Source organism: Homo sapiens, chromosome X (assembly GCF_000001405.40).
Source record: "Homo sapiens chromosome X, GRCh38.p14 Primary Assembly".
In the NCBI taxonomy this organism is placed as follows: Eukaryota; Metazoa; Chordata; class Mammalia; order Primates; family Hominidae; genus Homo; species Homo sapiens.
In genome coordinates this window covers 111,779,463-111,795,801 of record NC_000023.11, presented here as the reverse complement: position 1 = coordinate 111,795,801, position 16,339 = coordinate 111,779,463, and the positions used below count along the sequence as shown (strand labels likewise).

At 39.4% G+C, this 16,339-nt stretch overlaps 1 protein-coding gene across 3 annotated transcripts in view; it reads left to right on the top strand.

Annotated features, from left to right (window-relative positions):
- The window catches only part of TRPC5 (transient receptor potential cation channel subfamily C member 5), a 314,766-nt gene that overhangs the window by 286,975 nt on the left and 11,452 nt on the right, over nucleotides 1–16,339 (top strand). For all 3 annotated transcript variants that reach the window (NM_012471.3, XM_017029774.2, XM_047442413.1), the window contains 2 exons: nucleotides 13,664–13,867; nucleotides 14,596–14,637. In NM_012471.3, the coding sequence (NP_036603.1) occupies nucleotides 13,664–13,867; nucleotides 14,596–14,637 (246 nt within the window). The remainder of the gene's footprint in view (nucleotides 1–13,663; nucleotides 13,868–14,595; nucleotides 14,638–16,339) is intronic.

Here is a 16,339-nt window from a genome sequence, read left to right as displayed (position 1 = left end):
GAAAGAATATTTGAAGAAATAATGGACAAAATCTTACCAAATTTGATGAAAAAAATTAATCTATACATCTAAGAGTTCAAATAACCCCTAGCAGGATAAATACAAAGATATTTACATCATAGTCAAACTGACAAAATGAAAGACAAACAAAGAACCTTGAAAGCAGCAAGAGAAAAAGTATTATGTCATGTACAGGGGATCTTCAATATGACAACAACTAATTTTTTTTTAATCAGAAACCATGGGCACTAGAAGTCATTGTGATGACATATACAAAATATTTAAAGCAAAAACTACCAAACAAATAAAACTATTTATAAATAACCAAATGGGATTTATCTGTGGAATGCAAAGTAACCAATCATATTAACAGTTAAAACAAGAAAAAGCCCATGATCATATCAATTGATGTAGAAAAAGCATCTGCAAACTTCAACATACATTGATGATTTTTTTTTAAAAAAAAGGTCTCAACAAACTAGGAATAGAATGTAACTTCCACAACCTGATATAAAGAATCCACAAAAACCTACAGCTAACATTAAACTTAGCGGTGAAAGATTGAAGGTTTTTTGTCTAAAATCAGTAATAAAGATAGTATATCTACTCTCACTACTTCTAGTCTATGTTATGCTGACAATTCTAGACAGTGAAATAAGAAAAAAAATCATTAAGGATATACAGATTGGAAAGGAAGAAGGAAAACTCTCTTTATTTAGAAACAATATGATCTTATATGAAGAGACCCCTATGGAATCTACAAAAAAACTTCCTAGAACTAAAAATTAGTTTAACAAGGCCACAGAATGCAAGGTCAACACACAAATCTCAATATATACTAGCAATAAATCATTGGTAACTGAAATTTTAAAATATAGTTCTGGCTATTATCTGAATGTTTTGTGTCCCCCTCCCCCAAGTTCATATGTTGAAAACCTAATCACCAATGTGATGGTATTAGATGGGGCCTTTGGGAGATGGTAAGATTATAAGGGCACAGTCTTCTTGAATGGAATTGTGCTCTTATAAAAGAGGCCCCAGAGGACATTGCCTTTCCCCCTTTTGCTTCACCATATGAGGTTACAGCAAGAAGGCCCTCACCAGATGACAGCAAATCTGCTGGCACCTTGATCTTGAACTTCCCAGGCTCCAGAATTGTGAGAAATAAATTTCTGTTGTTTACAAGCCACTCAGTTAATGGTATTTTGTTATAGCAGCCCAAATAAACTAAGTCTCATTGACAATCACTGCAAAGAAAATGAAATACTTAGTTATAAGCTTAACAAAACATGCAGAAGAGCTGTACACTGAAAACTATAAAACACAATGGAAAAAATGATATACTGTATTTGTGGACTAGAAGACTTAACAGAATAAATATATTAACAATCTTGACAAAGAAAATTAAAGTGGAAGGAATGGAATTGCGCTACCTAATTTCAACAGTTACTATATAGCTACAGCCATCAAGACAGTGTGGTATGATGCAGAGATGGACATATAGATTAATGTAACAGAACAGAGAATTCAGACATAGACTCACACAAATATCCCCAACTGATTTTTTCTTTTGCATTTAAAAAAATAAGTCTTACTAAGATATAATTCACATACAATAAAATTTACCCTTTTAAGTTATATAATTCAGTGGTTTTTAGTATATTTGAATATATGTGCAGCCTTTACTACTGTCTAATGCCAGAGCATTTCTCATTTAAAAATGAAGCCCCATACCCCCTATTCCCTTCTCCTGCTAGCCCCTAACAGCCACTAATCTACTTTCTGTTTCTATGGATTTGTCTATTCTGACCATTTCATAGAAATTGAATCATAGAATACAGCCTCTTGTGACTGACTGGCTACTTTCACTTAGAATAACATTTTCAAGGTTCATCCATGTTGTAGCATGTATCAGTGCTTCATTCCTCTTTAATGCCAGATTATATTTCATTGTATGAATGTGCCACATTTTGTTCATCCATTTATTGGTTGATAGACATTTGGGTTATTTTCATTCTTCAGTCATTATAAAAATGCTGCTGTGAACATTTGTATACAAGTTTTTGAGTGGAGATACGTTTTCATTTCTCTTGGGTATATACCTAGGAGTGGATTTGCTGGGTCATGTGGTAGCTCTATGTTTAACAATTTGAGTAGCAACCATACTGCTTTCCAAAGTGGCTATACCATTTTACACACACACGAGCAGTGTATGAGGGGACCAATTTATGTATATCCTCACAAACAGTTGTTATTATCTGTCTTTTCTTATAATAGTCATCCTATTGGGTATGAGGTGGTATCTCATTGTGGTTTTGATTTGAATTTTCCTAATGATTAATGATGTTGAGAATATTTTCAGGAGCTTGTTGTCCATTTATGTATCTTCTTCGAAGAAATGTCTATTCAAACGATTTTCCCATTTTTACATTGGTTTGTCTTTTCATTGCTGAGCTGTAATTATTTTTTTTATAAATTACCCAGTCTCAGATATTTATTCATAGCAATGCGAGAACAGCCTAATACAGCAAGTGTCACTCAGATCTACTTTCTGTACAAGAGTTCTGGGAGAGGCTCCTTCGGGACGCTGATGGGACTCTCTTCCTGGGGATGACTTGTAAAAGGAGGGTTGGTAGGATGAACTACAGCCCCCCTGCAGCTGCAGCTGGTCTTGCGGCTATAGCTGATATTCATTCCCCTGCTCCTCTGCTGTGCATTCTAGATTCTGCTTACCATTGATGACTCCCTGTGAAGGTTTAGGTGAGTTTCCTAGTGGTGTGACTCAGTCTCTCCAAACGGAGGCATTCTAGTTCCTGTTTGCCATACCTTCTCAGGCTGTAGCTGCTGAACTTGTCCATTTGCCATTGAAATTGTGCAAGGTGGTACTAACAGGTGTCCAAGTTGATGATCTGGGTATCAAACATATGCCTCCTGCCTCCATTGTGTAACAATAGCTGGACTGCCTCTTGATGATAAGAGTCAATCATGCCAACCAGGATCCTTTCCTTGCCTGCTGGTCCTTGGCATGAAGGGCCCAAAGTGCCTGGATGATGACGTAGCTTAAAGTTCAGTGAAGACTCTTGCTGTATTCCCTGGTGGAAATGTTTCCCCTTTGGGAACCAAGACCTTTGACCCTGTGGGCTACATTTGTGAGGATGAAAACACAAATTCTTTAAGTGGGTCACTGGGAATGATAGCAAGTGGGGACACTGCTGCTCCCACACCATGGATTCCTCTCCCAGGTATTCTCTTGGGGATACAGCATTATATAATGGTGATTGACTTCAGGCATTACTGCATCCTGGAGGGTAGTGCTTTTTTTTAATTTTTTAAAATTTTAAGTTCTGGTATACATGCACAGAATGTGCAGGTTTGTTACATAGGTAAACATGTGCCATGGTGGTTTGCTGCACCCATCAACCCGTCATCTAGGTTTGAAGCCCCACATGCATTAGGTATTTGTCCTAATGCTCTCCCTCCCCTTGCCCCCGACCCCAACAGGCCCTGGTATGTGATGTTCCCCTCTCTGTGTCCATGTGTTCTCATTGTTCAACTCCCACTTATGAGTGAGAACATGTGATATTTGGTTTTCTGTTCCTGTGTTAGTTTGCTGAGAATGATGGCTTCCAGTTTCATCCATGTCCCCGCAAAGGACATGATCTCATTCTTTTATATGGCTGCATAGTATTCCATGGTGTATATGTGCCACATTTTCTTTATCCAGTCCATCATTGATGGGCATTTGTGTTGGTTCCAAGTCTTTGCTATTGTAAATACTGCTTCAGTAAACATACATGTGCATGTGTCTTTAGAGTAGAATGATTTATAATCCTTTGGGTATGTACCCAGTAATGGGATTGCTGGGTCAAATGGTATTTCTGGTTCTAGATCCTTGAGAAATCACCACACTGTCTTCCACAGGGTTGAACTAATTTACACTCCCACCAACAGTGTAAAAGCATTCCAAGGACAGTGCTTTATCCTCACAGGGTATCACTTCCAAGCTGGCACTTTAGCCAAGCTTTCAATAGGCTGTTCCATTGCTTATGAGACCAGTAGCTTGGGTGGTGTGCCATATGATGGGTTCAGTGGATTCCATGGTCATGTGACCACTGCTGTGTGTCCTTTGCTGTAAAGTAGGTCCCTTAGTCTGCTGCAGTGATATGTGGAATGCCACATTGATGGATTAAATATAGCATAAGCCCTTGGATGGTCATGTTGGATGAGACTCTGCAGGCAGGAAAGGCAAACCCATACACAGAATACCTGCCTATTCCTGTGGAAATTAATGGCTGCCCCTTTCATTATGGAAAGAGTTCAATACGGTCAACTTGCCACCAAGTGGCTGGTTGGTATCTTCAAGGGATATTGTTGTACTGAGTTTCAGCAATGGTTTCTGTTGGTGTCAGGGTGATTATCTGGCTGTGACAGCAGCTTGGGCCCATGGATAGCCTCCTTCTTTGCTTCCATGTCTCCTCTGCTTATGAATCCATTGTGCCAGGACTAGGGTGGCTGATGAAAAAGCTGGCTGACATCAACGGGCTGAGTCATTCCATTTAGTTATTAAATACCTCTTCAATGGTAGATGCTCTTGGGACCTGTGGAGGAAAAGGATGGAAGCAAAATTGGCAGAAAGAGAAAGTGGGCTGCAGTGTAGTCACAACCAGTCCTCAGCCAACCCTGTGGGGAGTTCTAAAGGTGGGATGATGCTTCAGAGATGTTCCCTGAGGAGGTGAGAGGGTCAGGTCTTTTTTTTTTTTTTTTTTTTTTTTTTTTTTTTTTGAGATGGAGTCTTGCTCTGTGGCCCAGGTTGGAGTGCAGTGGTGCAATCTTGGCTCACTGCAACCTCTGCCTCCTGCGTTCAAGCAATTCTGCGCCTCAGCCTCCCAAGCAGCTGGGATTACAGGTGCGAGCCACCATACCCAGCTAAGTTTTCATATTTTTAGTAGAGATGGGGTTTCACCATGTTGGCAAAGCTGGTCTTGAACTCTTGGCCTCAACTGATCCCCAGCTTTGGCCTCCCAAAGTGCTGGGATTCCAGGCATGAGCCACCATGGATCAGGTCTTAACAGTCCCACATTGACTAGTCATTTGTTGCAGGCTGTCCCTAGAAGGTGGCAGGACCTTGAATAAGGCAGGTTTCTTTAGCAAGACAGTCACTGAAGAAGGCTGTCAGCATAAAAGCTTCCCAAAAGCTAGCGGAATAAATCCTTTAGTCAGTTTTTTCCCCTATTTATTTATTTATGATACTTATAGTTCTAGGGTACATGTGCACAACGTACAGGTGTGATACATAGGTATACATGTGTCATGTTGGTTTGCTGCACTCATCAACTCATCATTTACATTAGGTATTTCTCCTAATGCTATCCCTCCCCCAGTCCCCCACCCTCCGACAGGCCCTGATGTGTGATGTTCCCTGCCCTGTGTCCAAGTGATCTCATTGTTCAATTCCCACCTATGAGTGAGAACATGCAGTGTGTGGTTTTCTGTCCTTGTGATAGTTTGCTGAGAATGATGGTTTCCAGCTTCATCCATGTCCCTGCAAAGGACATGAACTCATCCTTTTTTATGGCTGCATAGTATTCCATGGTGTATATGTGCCACATTTTCTTTATCCAGTCTATCATTGATGGACATTTGGGTTGGTTCCAAGTCTTTGCTATTGTGAATAGTGCCACAATAAACATACCTGTGCATGTGTCTTTATAGCAGCATGATTTATAATCCTTTGGGTATATACCCAGTAGTGGGATTGCTGAATCAAATTGTATTCCTCATTCTAGATCCTTGAGGAATTGCCACACTGTCTTCCACAATTGTTGAACCAATTTACACTCCCACCAACAGTGTAAAAGTGTTCCTATTTCTCCACATCCTCTCCAGCATCTACTGTTTCCTGACTTTTTAATGATTGCCATTCTAACTGGCATGAGATGGTATCTTATTGTGGTTTTGATTTGCATTTCTCTGATGACCAGTGATGGTGAGCATTTTCTCATGTGTCTGTTGGCTGCATAGATGTCTTGTTTTAAGAAGTCTGTTTATATCTTTTGCCCATTTTTGATGGGGTTGCTTTTTTCTTGTAAATTTGCTTGAGTTCTTTGTAGATTCTGGATATTAGCCCTTTGTCAGATGGGCAGATTGCACAAATTTTCTCCCATTCTGTAGGATGCCTGTTCTCTCTGATGGTAGTTTCCTTTGCTGTGCAGAAGCTCTTTAGTTTAATTAGATCCCATTTGTCTATTTTGACTTTTGTTGGCATTGCTTTTGGTGTTTTAGTCATGAAGTCCTTGCCCATGCCTATGTCCTGAATGGTATTGCCTAGGTTTTCTTCTAGGATTTTTGTGGCTTTAGGTATAACGTTTAAGTCTTTAATCCATCTTGAATTAATGTTTGTATAAGGTGTAAGTAAGGGATCCAGTTTCAGCTTTCTACATATGGCTAGCCAGTTTTCCCAGTACCATTTATTAAATAGGGAATCCTTTCCCCATTGCTTGTTTTTGTCAGGTTTGTCAAAGATCAGATGGTTGTAGATGTGTGGTGTTATTTCTGAGGCCTCTGTTCTGTTCCATTGGTCTATATATCTGTTTTGGTACCAGTACCATGCTGTTTTGGTTACAGTGGCCTTGTAGTATAGTTTGAAGTCAGGTAGTGTGATGCCTCCAGCTTTGTTCTTTTTGCTTAGGATTGTTTTGGCAATGTGGGCTCTTTTTTAGTTCCATGTGAACTTTAAAGTAGTTTTTTCCAATTCTGTGAAGAAAGTCATTGGTAGCTTGACGGGGATGGCATTGAATCTATAAATTACTTTGGGCAGTATGGCCATTTTCACGATAATGATTCTTCCTATCTATGAGCATGGAATATTCTTCCATTTGTTTGTACCCTATTTTATTTCATTGAGCAATGGTTTGTAGTTCTCCTTGAAGAGGTCCTTCACATCCCTTGTAAGTTGAATTCCTAGGTATTTTATTCTCTTTGCAGCAATTGTGAATGGGAGTTCACTCATGATTTGGCTCTCTGTTTGTCTGTTATTGGTGTATAAGAATGCTTGTGATTTTTGCACATTGATTTTGTATCCTGAGACTTTGTTGAAGTTGCGTATCAGCTTAAGGAGATTTTGGGCTGAGGTGACGGGGTTTTCTAAATATACAGTCATGTCATCTGCAAACAGGGACAATTTGACTTCCTCATTTCCTAATTGAATATCCTTTATTTCTTTCTCTTGCCTGATTTCCCCGGCCAGAACTTCCAACACTATGTTGAATACGAGTGGTGAGAGAGGGCATCCTTGACTTGTGCAGGTTTTCAAAGGGAATGCTTCCAGTTTTTGCCCATTCAGTATGATATTGGCTGTGGGTTTGTCATAAATAGCTCTTATTATTTTGAGATACATTCCATCAATACCTAGTTTATTGAGAGTTTTTAGCATGAAAGGGTGTTGAATTTTGTTGAAGGCCTTTTCTGCATCTATTGAGATAATCATGTGGTTTTTGTTGTTGGTTCTGTTTATGTGATGCATTGTGTTTATTGATTTGTGTATGTTGAACCAGCCTTGCATCCCAGGGATAAAGCCAACTTGATCATGGTGGATAAGCTTTTTGATGTGCTGCTGGATTCGGTTTGCCAGTATTTCATTGAGGATTTTCGCATTGATGTTCATCAGGGATATTGGTCTGAAATTCTCTTTTTTTGTTGTATCTCTGCCCGGCTTTGGTATCAATATGATGTTGGCCTCATAAAATGAGTTAGGGAGGATTCCGTCTTTATCTATTGATTGGATTAATTTCAGAAGGAATGGTACCAGCTCCTCTTTGTACCTCTGGTAGAATTCGGCTGTAAATCCATCTGGTACTGGACTTTTTTTGATTGGTAGGCTATTAATTATGGCCTCAAATTCAGAGCCTGTTATTGACCTATTCAGAGATTCAACTTCTTCCTGGTTTAGTCTTGGGAGGGTGTATGTGTCGAGGAATTTATCCATTTCTTCCAGATTTTCTAGGTTATTTGTGTAGAGGTGTTTATAGTATTCCCTGATGGTAGTTTGAATTTCTGTGGGACCAGTGGTGATATCCCCTTTATCGTTTTTTATTGCATCGATTTGATTCTTCTCTCTTTTCTTCTTTATTAGTCTTGCTAGTGGTCTATCAATTTTGTTGATCTTTTCAAAAAACCAGCTTCTGGATTCATTGGGTTTTTGAAGGGTTTTTTTTTTTTTTGTCTCTATCACTTTCAGTTGTGCTCTGATCTTAGTTATTTCTTGCCTTCTGCTAGCTTTTGAATTTGTTTGCTCTTGCTTCTCTAGTTCTTTTAATTGTGATGTTAGGGTGTCCATTTTAGATCTTTCCTGCTTTCTCTTGTGGGCATTTAGCGCTATAAATTTCCCTCTACACACTGCTTTAAATGTGTCCCAGAGATTCTGGTACATTGTGTCTTTGTTCTCATTGATTTCAAAGAACATCTTTATTTCTGCCTTCATTTTGTTATTTACCCAGTAGTCATTCAGGAGCAAGTTGTTCAGTTTCCATGTAGTTGTGCAGTTTTGAGTGATTTTCTTAACCCTGAGTTCTAATTTGATTGCACTGTGGTCTGAGAGACAGTTTGTTGTGATTTCTGTTCTTTTACATTTGCTGAGGAGTGCTTTACTTCCAATTATGTGGTCAATTTTAGAATAAGTGTGATGTGGTGCTGAGAAGAATGCATATTCTGTTGATTTGGGGTGGAAAGTTCTGTAGATGTCTATTAGGTCTCCTTGTTTCAGAGCTGAGTTCAGGTCCCGGACCTGGAACTTTCTGTCTCGTTGATCTAATATTGACAGTGGGGTGTAAAGTCTCCCATTATTATTGTGTGGGAGTCTAAGCCTCTTTGTAGGTCTCTAAGGACTTGCTTTATGAATCTGGGTGCTCCTGTATTGGGCGCATATATATTTAGGATAGCTAGCTCTTCTTGTTGAATTGATCCCTTTAACATTATGTAATGGCCTTCTTTGTCTCTTTAGATCTTTGTTGGGTTAAAGTCTCTTTTATCAGAGACTAGGATTGCAACCCCTGCTTTTTTTTTGCTTTCCATTTGCTTGGTAGATGTTCCTCCATCCCTTTATTTTGAGCCTATGTGCATCTCTGCATGTGAGATGGGTCTCCTGAATACAGCACACTCATGGGTCTTGACTCTTTATCCAATTTGCCAGTCTGTGTCTTCTAATTGGGGCATTTAGCCCATTTACATTTAAGGTTAATATTTTATGTGTGAATTTGATCCTGTCATTATGATGTTCACTGGTTATTTTGCCCGTTAATTGATGCAGTTTCTTCATAGCATCGATGGTCTTTACAATTTGGCATATTTTTGCAGTGGCTAGTACCGGTTGTTTCTATCCATGTTTAGTGCTTCATTCAGTAGCTCTTGTAAGGCAGGCCTGGTGGTGACAAAATCTCTCAGCATTTGCTTGTCTGTAAAGGATTTTATTTCTGCTTCACTTATGAAGCTTAGTTTGGGTGGATATGAAATTCTGGGTTGAAAATTCTTTTCTTTCAGAATGTTGAATATTGGCCCCCACTTTCTTCTGGCTCGTAGGGTTTCTGCCGAGAGGTCCGTTGTTAGTCTGATGGGCTTCCCTTTGTGGGTAACTCGACCTTCCTCTGTGGCTGCCCTTAACACTTTTTCCTTCATTTTGACTTTGGTGAATCTGAAAATTATGTGTCTTGGGGTTGCTCTTCTCAAGGAGTATCTTTGTGATGTTCTCTGTATTTCCTGAATTTGAATGTTGGCCTGCCTTGCTAAGTTGGGGAAGTTCTCCTGGATAATATCCTGAAGAGTGTTTTCCAACTTGGTTCCATTCTCCCCATCACTTTCAGGTACACCAATCAAACATAGATTTGGTCTTTTCCCATAGTCCCATATTTCTTGGAGGCTTTGTTCATTTCTTTTTACTCTTTTTTCTCTAACCTTGTCTTCTCACTTTATTTCCTTACTTTGATCTTCAATCACTGATACCCTTTCTTCCACTTGATCAAATTGGCTATTGAAGCTTGTGCATGTGTCACGAAGTTCTTGTGTCATGGTTTTCAGCTCCATCAGGTCATTTAAGGTCTTCTCTACACTGTTTATTCTAGTTAGCCATTCGTCTAATCTTTTTTCAAGGTTTTTAGCTTCCTTATGATGGGTTCGAACATCCTCCTTTAGCTCAGAGTAGTTTGTTATTACCGACCTTCTGAAGCCTACTTCTGTGAACTCGTGAAAGTGATTCTCCGTCCAGCTTTCTTCCATTGTTGGTGAGGAGATGTGATTCTTTGGAGGAGAAGAGGCGCTCTGATTTTTAGAATCTTCAGCTTTTCTGCTCTGGTTTCTCCCCATCTTTGTGGTTTTATCTACCTTTGGTCTTTGAAGTTGGTGACCTACAGATGGGGTTTTGGTATAGATGACCTTTTTGTTGATGTTGATGCTATTCCCATCTGTTTGTTAGTTTTCCTTCTAACAGTCAGGTCCCTCAGCTACAGGTCTGTTGGAGTTTGCTGTAGTTCCACTCCAGACCCTGTTTACCTGCGTGTCCCCAGTGGAGGCTGCAAAACAGCAAATACTGCAGAACAGCAAATATTACTGCCTAATCCTTCCTCTGGAAGCTTCATCCCAGAGGGACAGCTGCCTATATGAGGTGTCTCTCAGGCTACACGAGGGTCAGGGTCCCACTTGAGGAGGCAGTCTGTCCGTTCTGAGAGCTCAAACGCCATGCTGGGAGAACCACTGCTCTCTTCAGAGCTGTCAGACAGGGACGTTTAAGTCTGCAGAGTTGTCTGCTGCCTTTTGTTCGGTTATGCCCTGCCCACAGAGGTGGAGTCTAGAGGCAGTGGGCCTCATTGAGCTACAGTGGGCTCCCCCCAGTTCGAGCTTCCTGGCTGCTTTGTTTAGCTACTCAAGCCTCAATGGTGGACCCCCCTCCCCCAGCCAGGCTGCCGCCTTGCAGATCAATCTCAGACTGCTGCACTAGCAGCAAGCAAGGTTCCGTGGGCGTGGGACCTGCCAAGCCAGGCACGGGAGAGAACCTTCTTCTCTGCCAGTTGCTAAGACCTTGGGAAAAGTGCAGTATTTGGGTGGGAGTGTCCTGTTTTTCCAAATAGTCTTTCATGGCTTCCCTTGGCTAGGAAAGGGAAATCCCCCAACCCCTTGTGCTTCCTGGGTGAGGTGACACCCTGCTCTGCTTCAGCTCGCCCTCTGTGGGCTGCACCCACTGTCCAACCAGTCCCAATGAGATGAACCAGTTACCTCAGTTGGAAATGCTGAAATCATCTGTCTTCTGTGTCGATCACGCTGGGAGCTGCAGACCAGAGCTATTCCTAGTTGGCCATCTTGTAATGCCCCCACTCCCCCATAATTATTCTTTATATATTGTGATACAAGTCCCTTATCAGATATATGATATTAAATTATTTTCTCACGTTCTATGAGTTATCTTTTCATTTTCTTTATGCTGTCCTTTGATGTAAAAATGTTTTTAATTTTGATTAAGTCAAATTTACCTATTTTCTTTTGTCACTTGGTTTCTGGTGTCATATCTAAGAAATCGTTGTTTTATCCAAGGTCACAAAGATTTACTCCTATGCTTTCCTATTAGAGTTTTATAGTTTTTATCTGTTAAGTATAGGTCTATGATCCATTTTGAGTTTTGTACGTGGTATAAAGTAGGTGTTTAACTCTACTCTTTTGAATGTGGATGTCTAGTAGTCCAGCATGCCCCACTGATGTTCGGCAAAGGGGAAAAGCAGTTCAATGGAGAAATGAGAGTTGTCCAACAAATTGGGTCAGAGCAATTGTTCACTCATATTTTCAAAAAGAACCTCAACATAAACCTCTTCCCTTATAGAAAAATTAACTCAAAATGGATCATAGAACTAAAGGCATATCTTACAACTATAAAAGTTGTGGAGGAAAACATAGGAGAACATCTTCATGACCTTGGGCTAGCTGAAGAGTTCCTGGACATGACAGAAAAAGCACAATCTATGAAAAAATGGATAGTTTTATAAACATGATAATTTTGACTTTCTCAAAAGTAAAAGTTTGCTCCAGTAAAGACATCATTAAGAGAATGAAAAGACAAGATACAGACTGGAAGAAAATATTTGCAAGCCATATATCTAACAAAGGGATTGTATCTAGAATATATATGTATATTCTATATTATATTACATATATATAATAAAAATGGGCAAAGGATCTGAAAAACACTTCATCACAGAAGATATATAGATGGTAAATAAGCATGTGAAAAGATGCTCAACATCATTAGCCATTTGGGAAACGCAAATTATAACCATAATGAGATCCCACTACATACCTGTTAGAATGACTAAACTTTAAAAACCTGACAAGCACTAAAGAAGATATAGAGCAATTAGTGAAAATGGAAAACAGTATAGCCACTCTGGAAACAGTTTGGCATTTTATTATAAACACACCCTTAACACACAATCCAGCAATACCACTCTTAGATATGTAAGTTAGAAAAATTAAACGTATATTTAGACAAAAACCTGTACATGAATGGTCATAGCAGCTTTACTCATAATTGCTAAAAACTGGAAATAACCCAAATGTTCTTCAGTGGGTAAACAAAGAAACCATCGTGCATCCATATAATAGAAAACTACTCAGCAATGTGATTGAATGGGCTATTGATACATACGAAAACACAGATGAATCTCAAAGGTGTTATGCTGAGTAAAATGAGCCAATCTTAAAAGGTTACCTACTGTATGATTCCATTTATATGACATTTTGGAAAAGGTAAACTATAGGGACAGAAAACAGAGGAGCAGTTGTCAGAGGTTAGAGGTTGGGAGAGTTTGACTACAAAGAGGTAACAATAGGGAACTTTGGAGGGTGATAGAACTGTTGTGTATCCTGATTGTAGTAACAGTTACATCAGTCAATGCAGCTCTTAAAACTCCTAGAAATGTACACTGATGTGTGTGTGTGTGTGTGTGTGTGTGTGTGTGTGTTGATTATAATGATTGTTACATGGGTATATATACCTGTCAAAACTCATCAAACACTTTAAATGGTTGAATTTTATTCTGTGTAAATTGTGCCTCAATAAAGTTGAATTTTTTAAAATAAAAAAGCCTTCCACCACAATCCGACACCTTAAAAATAACTACTATTGACAGTTTAGTGTGTACTTGTCTAGAACATGTAAGCATGTAATATAAAAGATTTTCCAGTTGTATAAATGGGATCACTGTACATAATATATGTTGTGCTCTATATTGCTTTATTCACTTAGAGGGCTTGGACAGATGCATATATATACATATCTATAATGTTTATGGATCTACCATATATTAGTAGTTATATTTTATACCATTTTGTAGATGTAACACCATTTATTTAACCAGTTCTACTGTTGAATATTTAGGTTGCTGCCAGTCGTTTTGCTACTATTATCTGTGCTACAGTGAACAGCCATGTACATACATGTTTTTGTAAGTATATTGATAAGATATATTTCTAAGAGTAGGGTTACTGGGTGACAGGGTATGTATAATTTGAATTTATATAGCTCTTGACATATTGCCCTCTATAGAAGCAACTAGAAAGTTTAGAATAAGAAGTGAGTACATCGTGCAGTTTCCCATCCCAAATCCTTGAACTTCATTATCTTTCATAGGATCATGCTGATATCGAGTGGAAGTTTGCAAGGACGAAGCTCTGGATGAGTTACTTTGATGAAGGTGGCACCTTGCCACCTCCTTTCAACATCATCCCCAGCCCCAAGTCATTTCTATACCTTGGTAACTGGTTCAACAACACCTTCTGCCCCAAAAGAGACCCTGACGGTAGACGGAGAAGGCGCAACTTGAGAAGTTTCACAGTAAGACTTTTAATTTTGAAAACTTAATTTTTAAAAATTGAGATGGAGTCTCACTCTGTCACCCAGGCTGGAGTGCAGTGGCACGGTCTCGGGTCACTGCCAACCTCTGCTGCCTGGGTTCAAGCAATTCTCATGCCTCAGCCTCCCCAGTAGCTGGGATTACAGGCGTCTGCCACCACACCTGGCTAATTTTTTGTATTTATTACTTTTTGAGATGGCGTCTCGCTCTGTCATCCAGGCTGGAGTGCAGTGGCACCATGTCAGCTCACTGCCACCTCTGCCTCCCAGGTTCAAGTGATTCTCCTGCCTCAGCCTCCCAAGTAGCTGGGATTACAGACGAGCACCACCATGCTGGGCACATTTTTGTATTTTTAGTAGAGACAGGGTTTCACTATGTTGGCCAGGCTGGTCTTGAACTCCTGACCTCGTGATCCTCCTGCCTTGGCCTCCCAAAGTGCTGGGATTGCAGGCATGAGCCACCGCACCTGGCCAATATTATGAATCTTTTTAAACAAAACTGTTTCCTCCCGTCCCTCCTTTGTGACCAACTCACTGTTTTAAACATCATAAAATCATTCCAACATACATTTGCTTTGGGGATTTGTCAGGCAGGAGCTCCTGTAGCATTCTCTAGTCCTAATATATAGAAATAATTATATTCAGATGTTTGGGTGGGTAGGGTGCTGGGAGACTGCTGATGTAACATCTCTGTCTATTTTCAATTATAGGAACGCAATGCTGACAGCCTGATACAAAATCAACATTATCAGGTAAAGCTTCCTCACAGGGATGAAGCACAATAGTTGTTGGCTGGTTCTGTGGAGGAGAAGCAAACTTCACTCTGGCTGTGTCTGGACACGATCCCATTTGACTGGGATAGGAGGCTTGGAAAGGCTGTAATTTATCAAGGGCTGAAGTACCTTCTCCAAGTGGAATCACCTGCTTTATAATCCTGTTCATGGCCCTTATGCACTGCCTCGGCTTGATCAGCAACAACTATGACTTAGAAAGCTGTCTTCCTTGAAGTTACATAAAATAGAATATATGGTTGGTCAGTCAGTCAAATATGAGAGTACCTACTGTACATAAAATACTACACTAGATACTAGAAAAATCACTATGAACAAAAAAGATGCAATCTTTCTGCCCTTATGAAATATATTATCTAGCAGGGATAAAATAACACGTCATTAAAATTACAGTTGACTCTTGAACAACAGAGGATTGAACTGTGTAGATCGACTTATAGGCAGATTTTTTCAACCAAACGCAAATAGAAAATATAGTATTCATGGAATGTAAAACCACATATACAAGAGGGCTGACTTTTTGTATCTGCAGGTTCTGCAGGGTGACTGCAGGACTTGAGTATGCATGGATTTTGGTACATGGGGCGGGGGGTCCTGGGACCAATCCCCAGAGTATACCAAGGGATGATTGTATTAAAATTAAGTGATTACAAGGATAAAAACTGCCATGAAGAAAAAATACACAGGGTAATGGTAATATATATAACAGGAGGAAACTAACCTCAATGAAGTAAAAGCTTATCTGAATGTCAGGAATTTAGATCTTGATAAATTACAACATGACTTTAATCAAAGAAATAGAGAAGCACTTCTGTATTTTGTTAAAAAAAAAAAAGTAATAAACCTAATAAACATTAGGACACTCTTCCCACCAGCTAGAAAACAGCCAAGCATACAAATATCACCAACACCTCTTGAGAATAATCCTTGCAAATCACAAATAAGAGACAACCATCTCTCACCATCCTGATCAAAAGAAAACCAAAGTAGAAAAATGTTCTACAGCGTTTGAAGGAAATGCATCCTTATTCTATAGGTCACTTCTCCTAACTTTGTTCCCCTTAGACCATAACTAACAAAGAGAAGCAGAAAATATGGTATTTTGTATGTAAACCTCCTCTCCCTACTCCCGCCTTCAAATGTTATTACTTTTATAATAATAAATCTTAAATAAGATTCATTGTCTTCATTTTCTGCTTCATAGCCCTCAACAATAACAAAAAAAAATGATTCCTGCATGTCTCAGTGAGTTCCTCAAGTACACATAGTAGCAGAAGCAATACCATTGGCCTTGAAATCAGACTGAAGTAGAATCAAAGTCTAATGCTGACACTTACTAGTTGTGTAACATTGGATGAGTCAGCCTCATTGAGCCTTGACTTCCTCATCTGTAACATGGGAAGAGTAATAAAACTTAACTTACAGAGTTGTGAAAATTGAGTGATAAGTATGTATCATATGTATTATGTGCATGTGTTGCCTGACACATTGCAGTAAGTGGTAGCTATCATCATCACCATCACTAATACAAACTGTAGTGACCATGTGTAGACCATTCCCCTGGGGGCTTAGTGAAAAGAGGACATTCCTATAAAGGAGAAGTGTAGGTTGACTATGAGAAAAATATCTTCACTATGTAATTAGTAGACATTAAAATCAGCAG